Here is a 12,588-nt window from a genome sequence, read left to right on the forward strand (position 1 = left end):
TATCATAACTCTTTTTGTGCTCCTTCATGATTTTTTTGTGCTCCTTCATGATTCCCATTACTTTAAAAGCATTTAGAATTGGCCTGTTGTTTGTCCTTGTCTTAATGGTGCCGGTATTTTAAAGTTTAGTTGTAAGTAAGTTTTGCCATTCCTCTGAGTTAACTTGAACTGGTTTGCATAATGGTGACAAGAATGAATTTTTTCCCAAGTGGATTAAAAACTAATTTCATTATGAAGAAGTATTTTGATTCATATCCAAAGTACTGTTTTTCTGGATTAGAACCCCTACCTTTTCCCTTTGCAATGTATCTTAATTTTAACTTCTTTAAACTTACTCTGTTCCATGTAGAGCAGTAAAAAGCCAAGTTTTTCTTCCTTTTTTCCTGGATGTTTTGAAACATAATGAAACATCTGAGGATTTCAAATTCTTTTTAGACCTATCTTCCCATTTCTGTTATTGTCTATAATTCTTCTAAATACATATTGGACCATTAACATGTTTGCTTTGTGAATGTTCATTCTTAGTGTTCAGATAGCCTACTTATACTCGATGTGGGAAAAATGGGAAATGTTAGGGGGTTCATAAACAGAAATCCTTGCAGGAAGCCGGGTGTGACAGCAGACACCTATAATCCCAGCTACTTGGGAGACTGAGCTGAGAGGCCCACTTGAGGCCAGGAATTTAAGGACCAGCCTGGGCAACATAGACCTTATCTCTAAAACAAAAAAAAATCCTTGCAAGAAGAGAGAATAATTGCTTCCCATTTGGAAATGATATAGGGACTTTTGAATTAGATCTATCTTGACAAAGTTTTCTAGGCCATGCTGATACAGTATAGGGAGTTTGAATCTGTTGTGAGCGCTGTCAACATAGACAAAGTTCAAGTGAGTAACTAGCTTTCTATAATAGGGACTCTCTTCACTAGGTATTTTAAAGTTGCTGCTTTCTAATTGGATATTAGGAAGTTTTATATGATATACCCTCTGAGTAATAGATAATCCTCATCTATAAAGTTCCAGAATATTTGCCTAGGTTAGATCTCCCCTGGCTTAGAGCAGTTATACCTATAGTAACAGTAGGTTTTTGAGATTTTGGAGTATTACTTTTCTGATTAACCTAGGATTCTGATTAACCTGGAAGGTGGGACTTGTGAAAGAAATTGGATTTTGTTAGCCCAGTGAATCATCTGCATCCCACTCTATTTGAGGTCTTGGTAATAGATGTCAATTTAAATATGCATCTATTGAAAGCAATGGAGTTTTCCAAGCATTATGACTTCCTTGATAATTTTCAGTCTTATCTTTTTTCGTATTTTCTAGTCTCTTTCCCTGTCTTTAGTCTTCTTCCTCTTAAATGGTGCTTTTCCCAGGGCCAGTCTTTCTACTTTCTAAGCAAGCAGGCTTTTTTGTTCAGGATAAGCCAGAGTTAGATATTATGAATACTTTGAAACATCTGAATATGTTACATTCCAAAGTATGTAATTATTGATAGTAGTATCAAAACCTGGAAGATATTGGTGCAGATTATTCAGTTTTGCTGTGTAGGCAGGCTGTCTTTCTCCTCAACTGTGACACAGCAGTGACTTGAGAAGGCAAATATTACTTGAAACCCCCATTATCTTTATAGAGGGTACGTATATAAATTTTCTTACCTGACATTTTTACCATTATCAATATATCAGTAGCTCACATCTTAACATAGAAGAAGCCCATTAGCTCAAATACTGGAAACTTCAAACAAGGAAATAAATTACAAAAGCAAAGCAGTTAATGAAAAAAACTTGTCTATTGCCTGCGTCTTTCATGTCTACTCAATAGGTCCTGTTGAGGAGGCTAGAATACACCATCCGGTTAAGAAAGGGGTTGTTTTGTTTTGTTTAAGACAGAGTCTTGGTCTGTCTTCCAGGCTGGAGTGCAGTGGCTCAATCTTGGCTCACTGCAATCTCCACCTCCTTGGTTCAAGCAATTCTTGTGCCTCAGCCTCCCAAATAGCTGAGATTACAGGCGTGTGCCACCATGCCCAGCTAATTTTTGTATTTTTAGTAGAGATGGGGTTTCACCATGTTGGCCAGGCTGGTCGTGAACTCCTGGCCTCAATTGATCCTCCTGCTTCGGCCTCCCAAAGTGCTGGACTTAGAGGCATGAACCACTGCACCCAGCCCCATTTAAGAGAGTTTTATATTCAGCATCTCATATGGCCTACACCATGATTTTAATATACTGTGAATCTTAGGATTTCAGTTAATCCATAATGCCAGGAGTTAAGGTATTTCATGGGAACATGTTTCCTCTTCTATGAAATCACCTGTCTGCAGTGATAGGTAATGTATAAGAGAATGTTTCATTAAGTAAATATTAAGTACTTTTTGATACCAGACAACATGCTTGGGATTTGTATAATAAAACTGGTTTTAGACATAGTTTAGACATGATGTGTCTTCCTATACTTGAGAGTCCTAAGCCCACTTGGTTGGCGTCTGGGATGTATTGCTTTTGAAAAGCCTGCACTTTTTACTGTAGAGATAAAAGATCAAAAAGGGGACAGAATTAGCTTTATTAAGTGCTTTATCGTCATAACTGTGGTTAAGACAATAATACTATGAGGTAATAACAGTAATGTTAAAAATAACTAACTTTTTTTGAATGCTTACTATGTGCCAGGCACAGTTCTATGTGCTTCACATTGATTAACTCATCTAATCCTTATGACAATCCCATGAGGGTAGATAACATCCTCATTTTAGATGGGAAGAAACAGACACAACTGACTCAGGCTAACACTAGAGTTGCCTCTAGTAGGTGTAATTATATCATATTTTATAGATGAGGAAACTGATGAACCCAAGGTTACATAACTGGTAAATTACAGAGCCAATATTTACCAATCTTGATTCCAAAGCCCAGACTATCTGCATGATGTCATATTGACTCCATTTACTTATCAAGAGTTGAAGTTGACTGGAATATACAGTAGCCAGGAACAGTACTGCTTTTTGTGAATGTGTAATTCAAGAGTAAGTGATTAGAAGGTTCTTCAAAAGCTGATGCAGTTGATCTCTGAGCAGAGTTGAATAGTGAATATTTTCAGTGGATATTGCCCACTGATTCAAGGGAGTCACCCGTGTGGTTAGGTCTAATAGTGAGTGAGGTACTATCAAGGCAAAAATTGAAAGAGTTCCAGTTACCTATTGCTGTGTAACAAACTTAATTAAAATTAAGTAATTTTAATTACTTAAAATCAACCATTTCCTATATCATGGTTTTGTGAATCAGAAAATCCAGGAAGGGCTTGTCTGGGCAATTCTCCTCCCTGTGACAACGACTCAGGTCACCTGGTGGTATTCAGCAGGTGGTTAGACAAGTCTGGAAGGAGTGTCCAAGATGATCGATCTTACATACCTGACACTTTGGTGGGGAGACTAGAAGGATGGACTCAGCAGGTCTCCTCTTTCTCTCCATGAAGTCTAAGGACTCTCCATGTGTTCTCTTCATCAAGGTAGTCAGATTTACTACGAGGACAGCTAAGGCCTCTGAAAGGCTGGGCAGAAGAATCTAGTCAACTTAAAGGCCAGGCCTAGAATTATCATACAGCCACCACTGTACTCTTGGTCGAAGAACTTAATGGTAAGATGACAGCAAGAATGAAGGGGGAAAAAAGAACTCAATGGTCAGCCCAAATTTAAGGAGAGAAGAAATACCCTACCACTTTATGGAAGGCATGTCCAGGACTTGGGGCTATTTTTAATGTGTTAATGTTTTTTTTGTTTTGTTTTGTTTTTTGTCTTGACTCTTTGGTGTTTATTCATCAGTTGTTTGTGCTGTAGAAACCATTTATTATGTCTACCATGGGTCACTAAAGGAGCTAGAAGGAGAATGAGACAAATATCTGGAGCATACTTCATTTGCTGCCCTCTCCCTCCAAGTTTCATTTATCTTATAGCAAAATTTTCATTTTGTACTGTGTTCCAAGTTGTGAACATTTGCCTGGTTTTGCTCTGAAGCCACGGTAACTGCATGCGGAGCTAGAAATACTCTAGAGGGAGTAAAAAGCTTACATTTTTTTTGTTTGTTTTTTGTTTTAGGACAGAGTTTCACTCTGTCACCCAGGCTGGAGTGCAGTGGTGCAATCACAGCTCACTGCAGCCTCAACCTCCTGGACTCAAGCAATCCTCCTACCTCATCCTCCCAAGTAGCTGGGACTCCAGACGTGTGCCACTACACCTGGCTAATTTTTGTGTATTTTTAGAGACGGGATCTCACCATGTTGCCTGGGCTGGTCTTGAACTCCTGGACTCAAGAGATCCACCTTCCTCGGCCTCCTGAAGTGCTGGGATTACAGGCATGAGCCAACGTGCCTGGCCCGGAAAGCTTACTATTAAATAATTTGATTTCTTGGAGATATCAGTTGTATTTTAAGTTTACAAATAGGTGAATACTCTTGTGGTATGGAAACATTGCATGGCTGCTGAATCTCTTTCAACAGGAGTTTCTATTGGGTGGCTACATGGATCATATTCTTGAGATAGTGAAAAGTTTTACCTACTTATCTTAATCCCATTCTACCTCTACACCTCCAGCATGATTTTGTGCTCGAAGATGAATCAATTCCTTTCATTCTTGTTACCTTTCATACAGGAAAATTCATCGCCCAATTTTATATGTTGTTAATCTTTTAAAATTGGCAGTTGTTACCAGCCTCTCTCATTTAAAATAACAGATCATTGAAGTTTTTTGATTTTTGGTTAGATGTGTCAGATTTAGGATGCCTTATTTAAACTCGTGCTGTCTTACTAGACTGTTCCTGCTCTGAGAAGAAATATGGACAGAGAATGAATTTCATTGTCCATATTGATGAACCCCAAATCAATACACTTCTTAAGAAAGGTTTGAGATTATCCAGTCCATGTGCAATGAATCCTTGGAGCATTAGCTGTGTGGCCTTCCTACTGATAATCTGCAGTTATCACAGTAAAGAGATCTCTGTTCCTAGGTCAGGCCTTAGCAATTACAAATACAGGAAATAAAGGGGTACTCAATGCTGAAGACTTAATTTTGGGTACCTACAAAGTCCTGGGAAGGGAAAAAGAAGACCTTGGCATTTGTATTTGCATAACCAGAGATGGAATGTTTGAGGCTTTTAGGCATAAAGATTAATTAGATTTTATCATATAAAGATTAGGGCAAATTATTTTTTTTTCCAGTTCATTCTTAACATGTTAAGGGACAAATTTTAATGAATAAAAATTTAAAGGCCTTAAAACTTTCTTTTGGATTCACATTTCCACTCTGGTATAATCCACTCTGGTGTAGTCTGCCCTTTATGACAGAGAAAGCCTTTGAAAATATTGTCCCAGGGAATGAAAAATCTTAATGATGATCTATGGAAATGTCTCTCATTCTCTATTACAGCCCTTTGGGCCCTCCTATAGATTCTCTGTGAATTTAAGTTTGAAATCATTTGGTGTTTGCATGAAAAATAATTCTTACTATTCATTTAAATAATTCTTAAATGTGGTCTTAAATTGCAAGAGAGAACAAAGCCAGAAAAAGGGGAACCTTGTAGATTGACCAAATATTTATTCTTTATTTTCAGCATCACAAATCTAAACCATTTCAAGCTAATACAACAACCTGAGTGAGTAGAAATTCCTTAAGGTTTAGATTTCTGCTTTTAGTCACATCTTGAAGCAGATGTTTATGACATATTTGAAGATGATCCACTGAGTTTCCTATAAAGTAATAGAATCCTAACTATAGTGGTTCTTTAAGAACCACTGAAAAAACAGAATTGCAGTGCAGGGAACAAAGCTTAAAATGTGTTTCCTCTGGAAGCCAAGATGCTAAAAAAGGGGTCACTAATAGTGTGACTGAAGTCCGTCTCTAGAATGGCTATCTGTTAGATAGCAGAAATATTTAGAATGTATATGGCATTTCTAATATTTTTACAAAAATAATTTTAAATCATGTAACTCGAATTTTTTTTAAAAAGTCTGTTTTCTTTTTGGAAAACTGGCACAATAAAAATAACACTAATATAATTCCATTGTATATGCATGTGCATTGAACCCAGAGTGGGTATACTAAAGATAGTTCATGCAAATAACTTATGGGAAGTTTGGCTATTTTTTCATGTATGTTTATAAATATATTTAGTCATCTACTGTGACCTTGGTAGCACAGAAGCATTTTGTTAGCTGTATCATTAATTCTAAAAATCAAATTCTTGGCATAGTAGGCTATGAGAGCTTTTTGTTACTTGGTATTTTGGCTAAGAAAATTATTTCTTGCACTTTCTATTTGTAAAGATGTTATAACACAATGCACCCACTTAATGCAGCTTTTCTTTAGAGAAAAAAGATGTAGGTGTAAAAGTGAAATGTATGTTTTCAAACCTGGCAAAAGGAGGGACCTCAAAAAAATAAATTTGGCTTGCCATCTACCTGAGTAGGGTTGGGGATTAATATAAAACTTAGGTTGAAAGTGGCTGTTGGGATAGGTATACTGTTGCTGTGAATTGCAATATTGCTGTGAGTTGCCAGCTATGTATGTGTAAGTTTATGTGTGTATGTGAGAAAAAGGTATTTCGTGAAGGCATAAAAGTCAGTGTAGAATATCCTACCTCCCACTAGAGACTGAGCATATTCAAGATTGCTCTGTAGTCCCTTGGGCAGGAAGCTGGATTCCTCAGCCACTGTCTACCCCATTCTTCTCTATACTCACTTCAGCTCCTCTACCTCTGAGCACTTGGCTGAAGAAAGAGTATAGCTTTCTGTAGCAAGCAAAGGAAAGCCAGACCCAAAATAGAGAGGCTGCAGTATCTGAAATTCTTATCATGTTCAGATATCAATATTTAATTTTGTTGCCCAAATCAAACAATGTCAGAACACTTGAGTTTAGTGCTTTTTTTTCTCTCTCTGTCTCCTACAGACTTCTCCCGGTTTACTGCTTTTATCCACTGGCTTCTGTTTGGCAGGAGTAGCCAGTGGAGGTCAAGTCTGTTTTTAAAGACTAAAACACCTAATTCCTTTTAATGATGTGTAACATTTGTTTGAATCCCCAACTTCTTTTTTTTTGGGGGGCAGGGGTAGAGATGGAGTCTCCCTATGTTGCCCAGTCTCGTCTTAAACATCTAGGTTTGGTTGGATGCAGTGGCTCACACCTGTAATCCCAGCACTTTGGGAAGCTGAGGTAGGCGGATCACCTGATGTCAGGAGTTCGAGACCAGCCTGGCCAACATTGTGAAACCCCGTCTCTACTAAAAATACAAAAAATTAGCTGGGTGTGGTGGCGGCATCTGTAATCCCAGCTACTCGGGAGGCTGAGGCAGGAGAATCGCTTGAACTCGGGAGGTGGAAATTGCAGTGAGCCGAGATCACACGGTTGCACTCCAGCCTGAGCAACAAGAGCGAGACTCCATCTCAAAAAAAAAAAAAAAAAGTCTGGGCTCAAGCGATCCTACCACCTCAGCCTCCCCAAAGTGATAGGATTACAGGTGCCAGTCACCACACCTGGCCCATGATGGATTTTCAGATGACCTCTTTTACTTCTAATCTCTCCAAAGAGAGATATTCTTGTTTTTAAGGTCAATATTGTCATAATAGTCATGATGTCCTCACCTGAATGTTGTAGGTGTCAGAAAGTTGTTTCAATAGTAATATGCCACCAGGCAGACCACCTAATCTTTAAATCCAGTTGTAGCACTCAATTTATTTTCTGTTTGGGGCACTAGTGCACTGAGCCAAGTCAACTTGTCCACTTTTCTAATATTTCTTACAGCTAAGGAGGAACTGTTGGTCCTTTGATATCCTAGAATGCTTTCTACTTGTGGAAATGCTTTTTACCCTAATACACTGATTATATTGTCTAAATGTCTAAACAGGGATTCTCTGGTTAGAAGTGAAATGAGAGAGTGACCCATTTTCAGATTTTTAGAGATTGGCTCCCGTATTTTAGGAACTAGCTGATAAGTATTTAGTTTCCTGGTGACTTTGGATACGGCAAGTGGAGATGCAGAGAATGTGAAATTCCAAATAATAAGACAAGCATTACTCACAAATAACAACTGATACAGTAATTTCTGCCCAAATGCAGTAAGAATCTTGTAGGGAGATGAAGTGGTAAAATTAAATTATATGAATCTTTTTACCACGACTATTTTTTTTTTTCTACCTGTAGCATAGTTCTCTGCCTATAAGCCATGCTAATATCCTAGACCCAGGAATTAATTCCTGCTTAGGAAAATTTTTCCTTCTGGCTTATCTTTTGTTTGTGCCCAGAGTTTTGTCCTAGGCCTGTCCCCTGATCTTTTGCTATAACACATACTTAAGGTGCAGCCTTCTTACCTAAATCAGTACTTTACTGTTGCTGTTGCTGCCTATTACAGCCAGTTATTTATTTAAAAAGTAGTGAAAAAATGCCTAGGTAGTTTGATTGCAGCATGTTAAATCCATAAATCTGGACAGAAGCCATGGAGTCTTACCTTTTCTCTCTCTAGCTTGGATGAACACCGGCCTTATGCTTTCTATTACAGGACTAGTTGACCCAGTTCTTCATATTGGTTGCACATTAGAATTGCATAGGACCCCCTCTAGACATTTACATTTTATTGGTCTGTTGTGCAACCTGGGCTTTAGGTGATTCTAATGTGCAGCCAAGGTTGAGAATCACTCCCTATGTAATCCCTAGTGGTCATGGCAGGATAACCTCAATCCAGTCCTCTTTGACCTGAAAATATCTTTATTGATATTCCATGCATGGCTCTCAATTCAAAGTGTACAGTGGGTCAAGGCTTAGGTAGTAAAATGGATCATCCATTTGTCCTCAGAATAATTCTGGAGGGAGATATTGTCATCCATCCAGTTTCCTCTCTATACCAAATACAAAGTACACATAAATAAGCAAAACAAATTTTCAAAGTTCCTTCTCTAGAATCCTCTTTCTTTTGCATATGTAGTTTCAGTGGAGATTTCTCAACTAGCTGAAATGGAGCACTTGAATATATTAAAAGAGCCCAAACTGCTTACAGCAATTTCTATTTGTAAAATAAACAGGTGGCATTGTTAATGGAGAAAAGGAAGGATCCTGCCTGTGGTGATGGTAATATGTTTGATTATTTATCTCTTAGCCTGTCTTCTAAGTGGGATTTCAGTGTCAGTTAACTTTCACTTTTCTTGGATTGTTTTTTTGTGAATGAAATGAACTAGTTAAGGCTTAAGTATTTCTGAATAATATATGAAATGTGAAATGAGTCATTTTAGGATCTTTCTTCTGGGATGTCAAAGACCTAACCAAGTAACTCCCAAATGAGGTTCCAGATTCATTTTTCTCATCCCAGGTAGTAAACGTGTTTTAATGGGTTTGTTTCTTGCCCATGGCAACCTCAACACAGAGGGGAGAACTGTTTTATTACCCTAAAATAGTGAGAACCACTGTTCAAACTAACTAGCTACCAAGTGACTTCTAACTCATGAAGAAAATTTGTATTTAAGAGCAAGTTCAAATGTAGCAGGCTCTCTTCTGAGAGTATTCTGGATACCACGGAAAGTTTCATTTATATATTGCTTACAAGTACGTGGTAATTTGAACTTCAGTAGGTGATATGTGCAAGGAGAAAAAGTAGGTCAAGGAGAAAGTTGGTTAGTGCAGAGGACTGACTTAGCATCAGTCTGTGAAATTTCATTAAAGTAGCACTAAGGCCTGGCTGTTTGCTTAGCATGTAAATGCTGCAGTGTCCAAGAAAATGCCTCCTATGCCTTAGAAAATTTGCTGAAGGCTTCCTGTTACTGGTGGAGTAGAAAAGCAATAGCCTTTGAGACTCCAAAGAGAGTAGCCCCCTTAGGGTTTTCATACTGAAGAACCTTGTGGAGTACTGTGAAACATTGTTGAACTTTATGCAAATTATACTGCACTGGATTTTAAGATTTTATGGGGAGAGAGTAGAGCAGAGTGGGGAAGTAATGATAAAAGATAAATACGTAAACTTGTACTATATTTTAAGCAAGGAATGAAACAAATTCCCTAACAGGAATTCCCTGTCAGCACTGTGAAGTTTGGTCAAGTTCTGCCTAATGGGTTGGCTTGCTGATTCCTCTTAAACCTCTAGGAAATCCTTTCTAAGACAGCAAAACAAACGTTAGTTTGAGTACTACTATTTCACCACCCTGCTCCATCCCCCTACTCTCAACGAAAGAAAAGCATTCCCAAACTATAGGCAAAAGAAATGTGTTCTCAGTCCATTAATTTTTCATCTGCTATGATCTCTGTTCACAGTTTTAGCACATTGCATTATTTTGTAATCTGATAGCAGAACATCAGGAACTAATGGCTTCCTTCCCTTTAAGAAATCTTAAAGTTAGAACTTTTTTTTTTTTTTTTTTTTTTGAGACAGGGTCTTGATCTGTCACCCAGGCTGGAGTACAGTGGTGCAATTATAGCTCACTGCAGCCTCCACCTCCTGGACTCTATCCTCCTGCCTCAGCCTCCCAAGTAGCTGGAACTACAGGCATGTGCCACCACGCCCAGCTAAATTTTCTATTTTCTTTTAGAGACAGAGTCTCACTATGTTGCCCAGGCTGGTCTCAAACTCCTGGGCTCAAGCGATCCTCCCACCTAGGACTCCTAAAGTTACAGGTGTGAGCCACTGTGCTTGGCCTAGAACTCTGTTTTTGGCATTTCTTTCTAAATGAGTACATTGGAAGAACATTTAGGTTTCCAGGCTCCTCATAATTTCTGAATGGGACCCGCTCTGCTCTGCCTCTGAAAGGAGGAGAAAAGGCTGAGGGTTCAAAGACAGAAAAGTCAATGTAGCAGAAATTTGATTTCCTTCAGATGGACATAGTCTGAAAGAAATCTATCCAGCTGTTCTCTATGGTGCTTATATGATGGGTGACAGCTGTCCCCATCTACCTGTCCCTGGCACTGTGCCTTCACACTGGTCACTGTGAAAAGCAGATCACACTGGACTCAGAGGCCAGAATCCAGGACAAGATCCCCCTTCTCATCTTGAGCCCATCACATCTTTGTATAGCTGTTAATGTAGCATTTACTTCTCTATGGGAAACTCTTGGGTTTTTAACCCAAGAAGAAATTGTAAAGCATTTAAACTAGTCAGAAAATAAGATTCTGATGGTAGCGATCAAATAAAGGAAAATTTCACTTCCTCTCAGTTGATATTGATTGATAGCAAGGATCAACTATGCCCACCTCTTCCTAAGTTTCTAAAGGCTACCATAATATTTGTAAACAACAAATTTATCTAATATTTTTTACAACTTGCTAATCAAGGAGGATTCATATTAAAACAGACAATCAGTTTCTAAAATGTTATCCCTGAAAGGGAATGGAATAGAGTATTTTTAGCTGTAAGAACCTACCAGTCTGTTTTTTCCCTTTGAAAAAAACTAATGTTTGAGATTTGTGTCTTTTCATCTGAAGCAGTTACTCCATTAATAGTAAAGATGCCTCGGGAAAGTCAGTGAACCAGAATAGTGCTCTTGCACCACTGAGGGTGCTAGACTGGCTTTGTGCATCTTATTTCCTAAGAATATCAGTTTTTATTATGACCTTAATTATAAATACCTATATATAGGAGTAGGATTTTCTCTCACCCAACCCTACTTTAATCATTATCACTTAAGTGTAAACCTCCACCTCCCCCTCTTTCCCTTTACCGAAAAAAAATGCACTTTAATTCCTAAGGAGAGTGGCTGTTCCTGGCCCTGAAACCAGATTACTTCAGGAGGAGAGTTAAGGAGGGAGAGCTCTTACCAGACCCTGTGAAATGAACCAAATTTCTTAATGTAAACACACAAGTAATAACATCCACTTTTAAGTGGCCCCCACTCCATGCCAAAGGGAAAAAGAACCGCCAAATTGAAAAAGGGTTCTAAATACCTGTCCTGATTTTGGAAGTTTCACTGGGGAAAAACTACCTAAGATTATTTTCACAGCTACCAATTTGTCAGAAACTTTGGTGGTGTTTTGTGGGAGGCTGAGATTTTTTAAATTAAAAATCAAGTGAAAACACAAAGACTCTAAGACACGATCCTGATTTGTGTCATTTCTAAGTATCAGATTTGTTCTCCCTTCATTTGACAGGTGTTCTCAGTCTCTCCTCCTGTAAGATTCTGTCCTTCCCCTGATGACAAGCCAATAGTTCTTGGTGGGGTTGCATGTCTCCTAGAGCCCCAGGACCCCTGTCGTGTCGGGGAAGGGGGGAGGGCAGGAGGGTGGGCAGAGACTCGGGTTGGGGGAGGGAGTTCAAAGAAAGAGTGAAAATATGGGTTTATATAAACATATTTAAAGCAGTTTAGCAAAAGCTTTCTCGTTGAACAGCTTTAAGAACAATGTGAATGAAATCTTAGCAACTTGGTTAGTAATCTGAAAAGTCTATTAATGTATACTTGAAATTCTGTTTGTATAAAAATGCATTTTCCCCTTTATTTTAACACTGTGTAAAAGAACATTATGCATGTGAGTGGTTTGAGAATTAAATGGTTTAATACTCAGATTTGAATCTGTCTTTTCTGTATATAGAAACTAATCTGTTTAAATTTTTGATATGTTTTAGTGTGATGGAAATACTGAGAA

General features: G+C 38.3%; 1 protein-coding gene across 9 annotated transcripts in view, besides 1 other annotated feature; it reads left to right on the top strand.

Annotated features, from left to right (window-relative positions):
- Positions 1-12,506, top strand: part of ZBTB37 (zinc finger and BTB domain containing 37) — a 35,466-nt gene extending 22,960 nt beyond the window's left edge. For all 9 annotated transcript variants that reach the window (NM_001369846.1, NM_001346115.2, NM_001395199.1 and 6 more), the window contains one exon: positions 1-12,506. This exon is cut by the window's left edge. The gene's annotated coding sequence lies outside the window, so the exon portion shown is untranslated.
- Positions 3,014-4,213: an enhancer, noted in NCBI's record as "BRD4-independent group 4 enhancer chr1:173863193-173864392 (GRCh37/hg19 assembly coordinates)". NCBI's record gives its function as "activates an origin of replication core promoter dependent on BRD2, P300/CBP, MED14 and CDK7 cofactors, and independent of BRD4, by STARR-seq in HCT116 cells {active_cell/tissue: HCT116}" and the evidence as "EXISTENCE:reporter gene assay evidence [ECO:0000049][PMID:35650434]".

Source organism: Homo sapiens, chromosome 1 (genome assembly GCF_000001405.40).
Source record: "Homo sapiens chromosome 1, GRCh38.p14 Primary Assembly".
In the NCBI taxonomy this organism is placed as follows: Eukaryota; Metazoa; Chordata; class Mammalia; order Primates; family Hominidae; genus Homo; species Homo sapiens.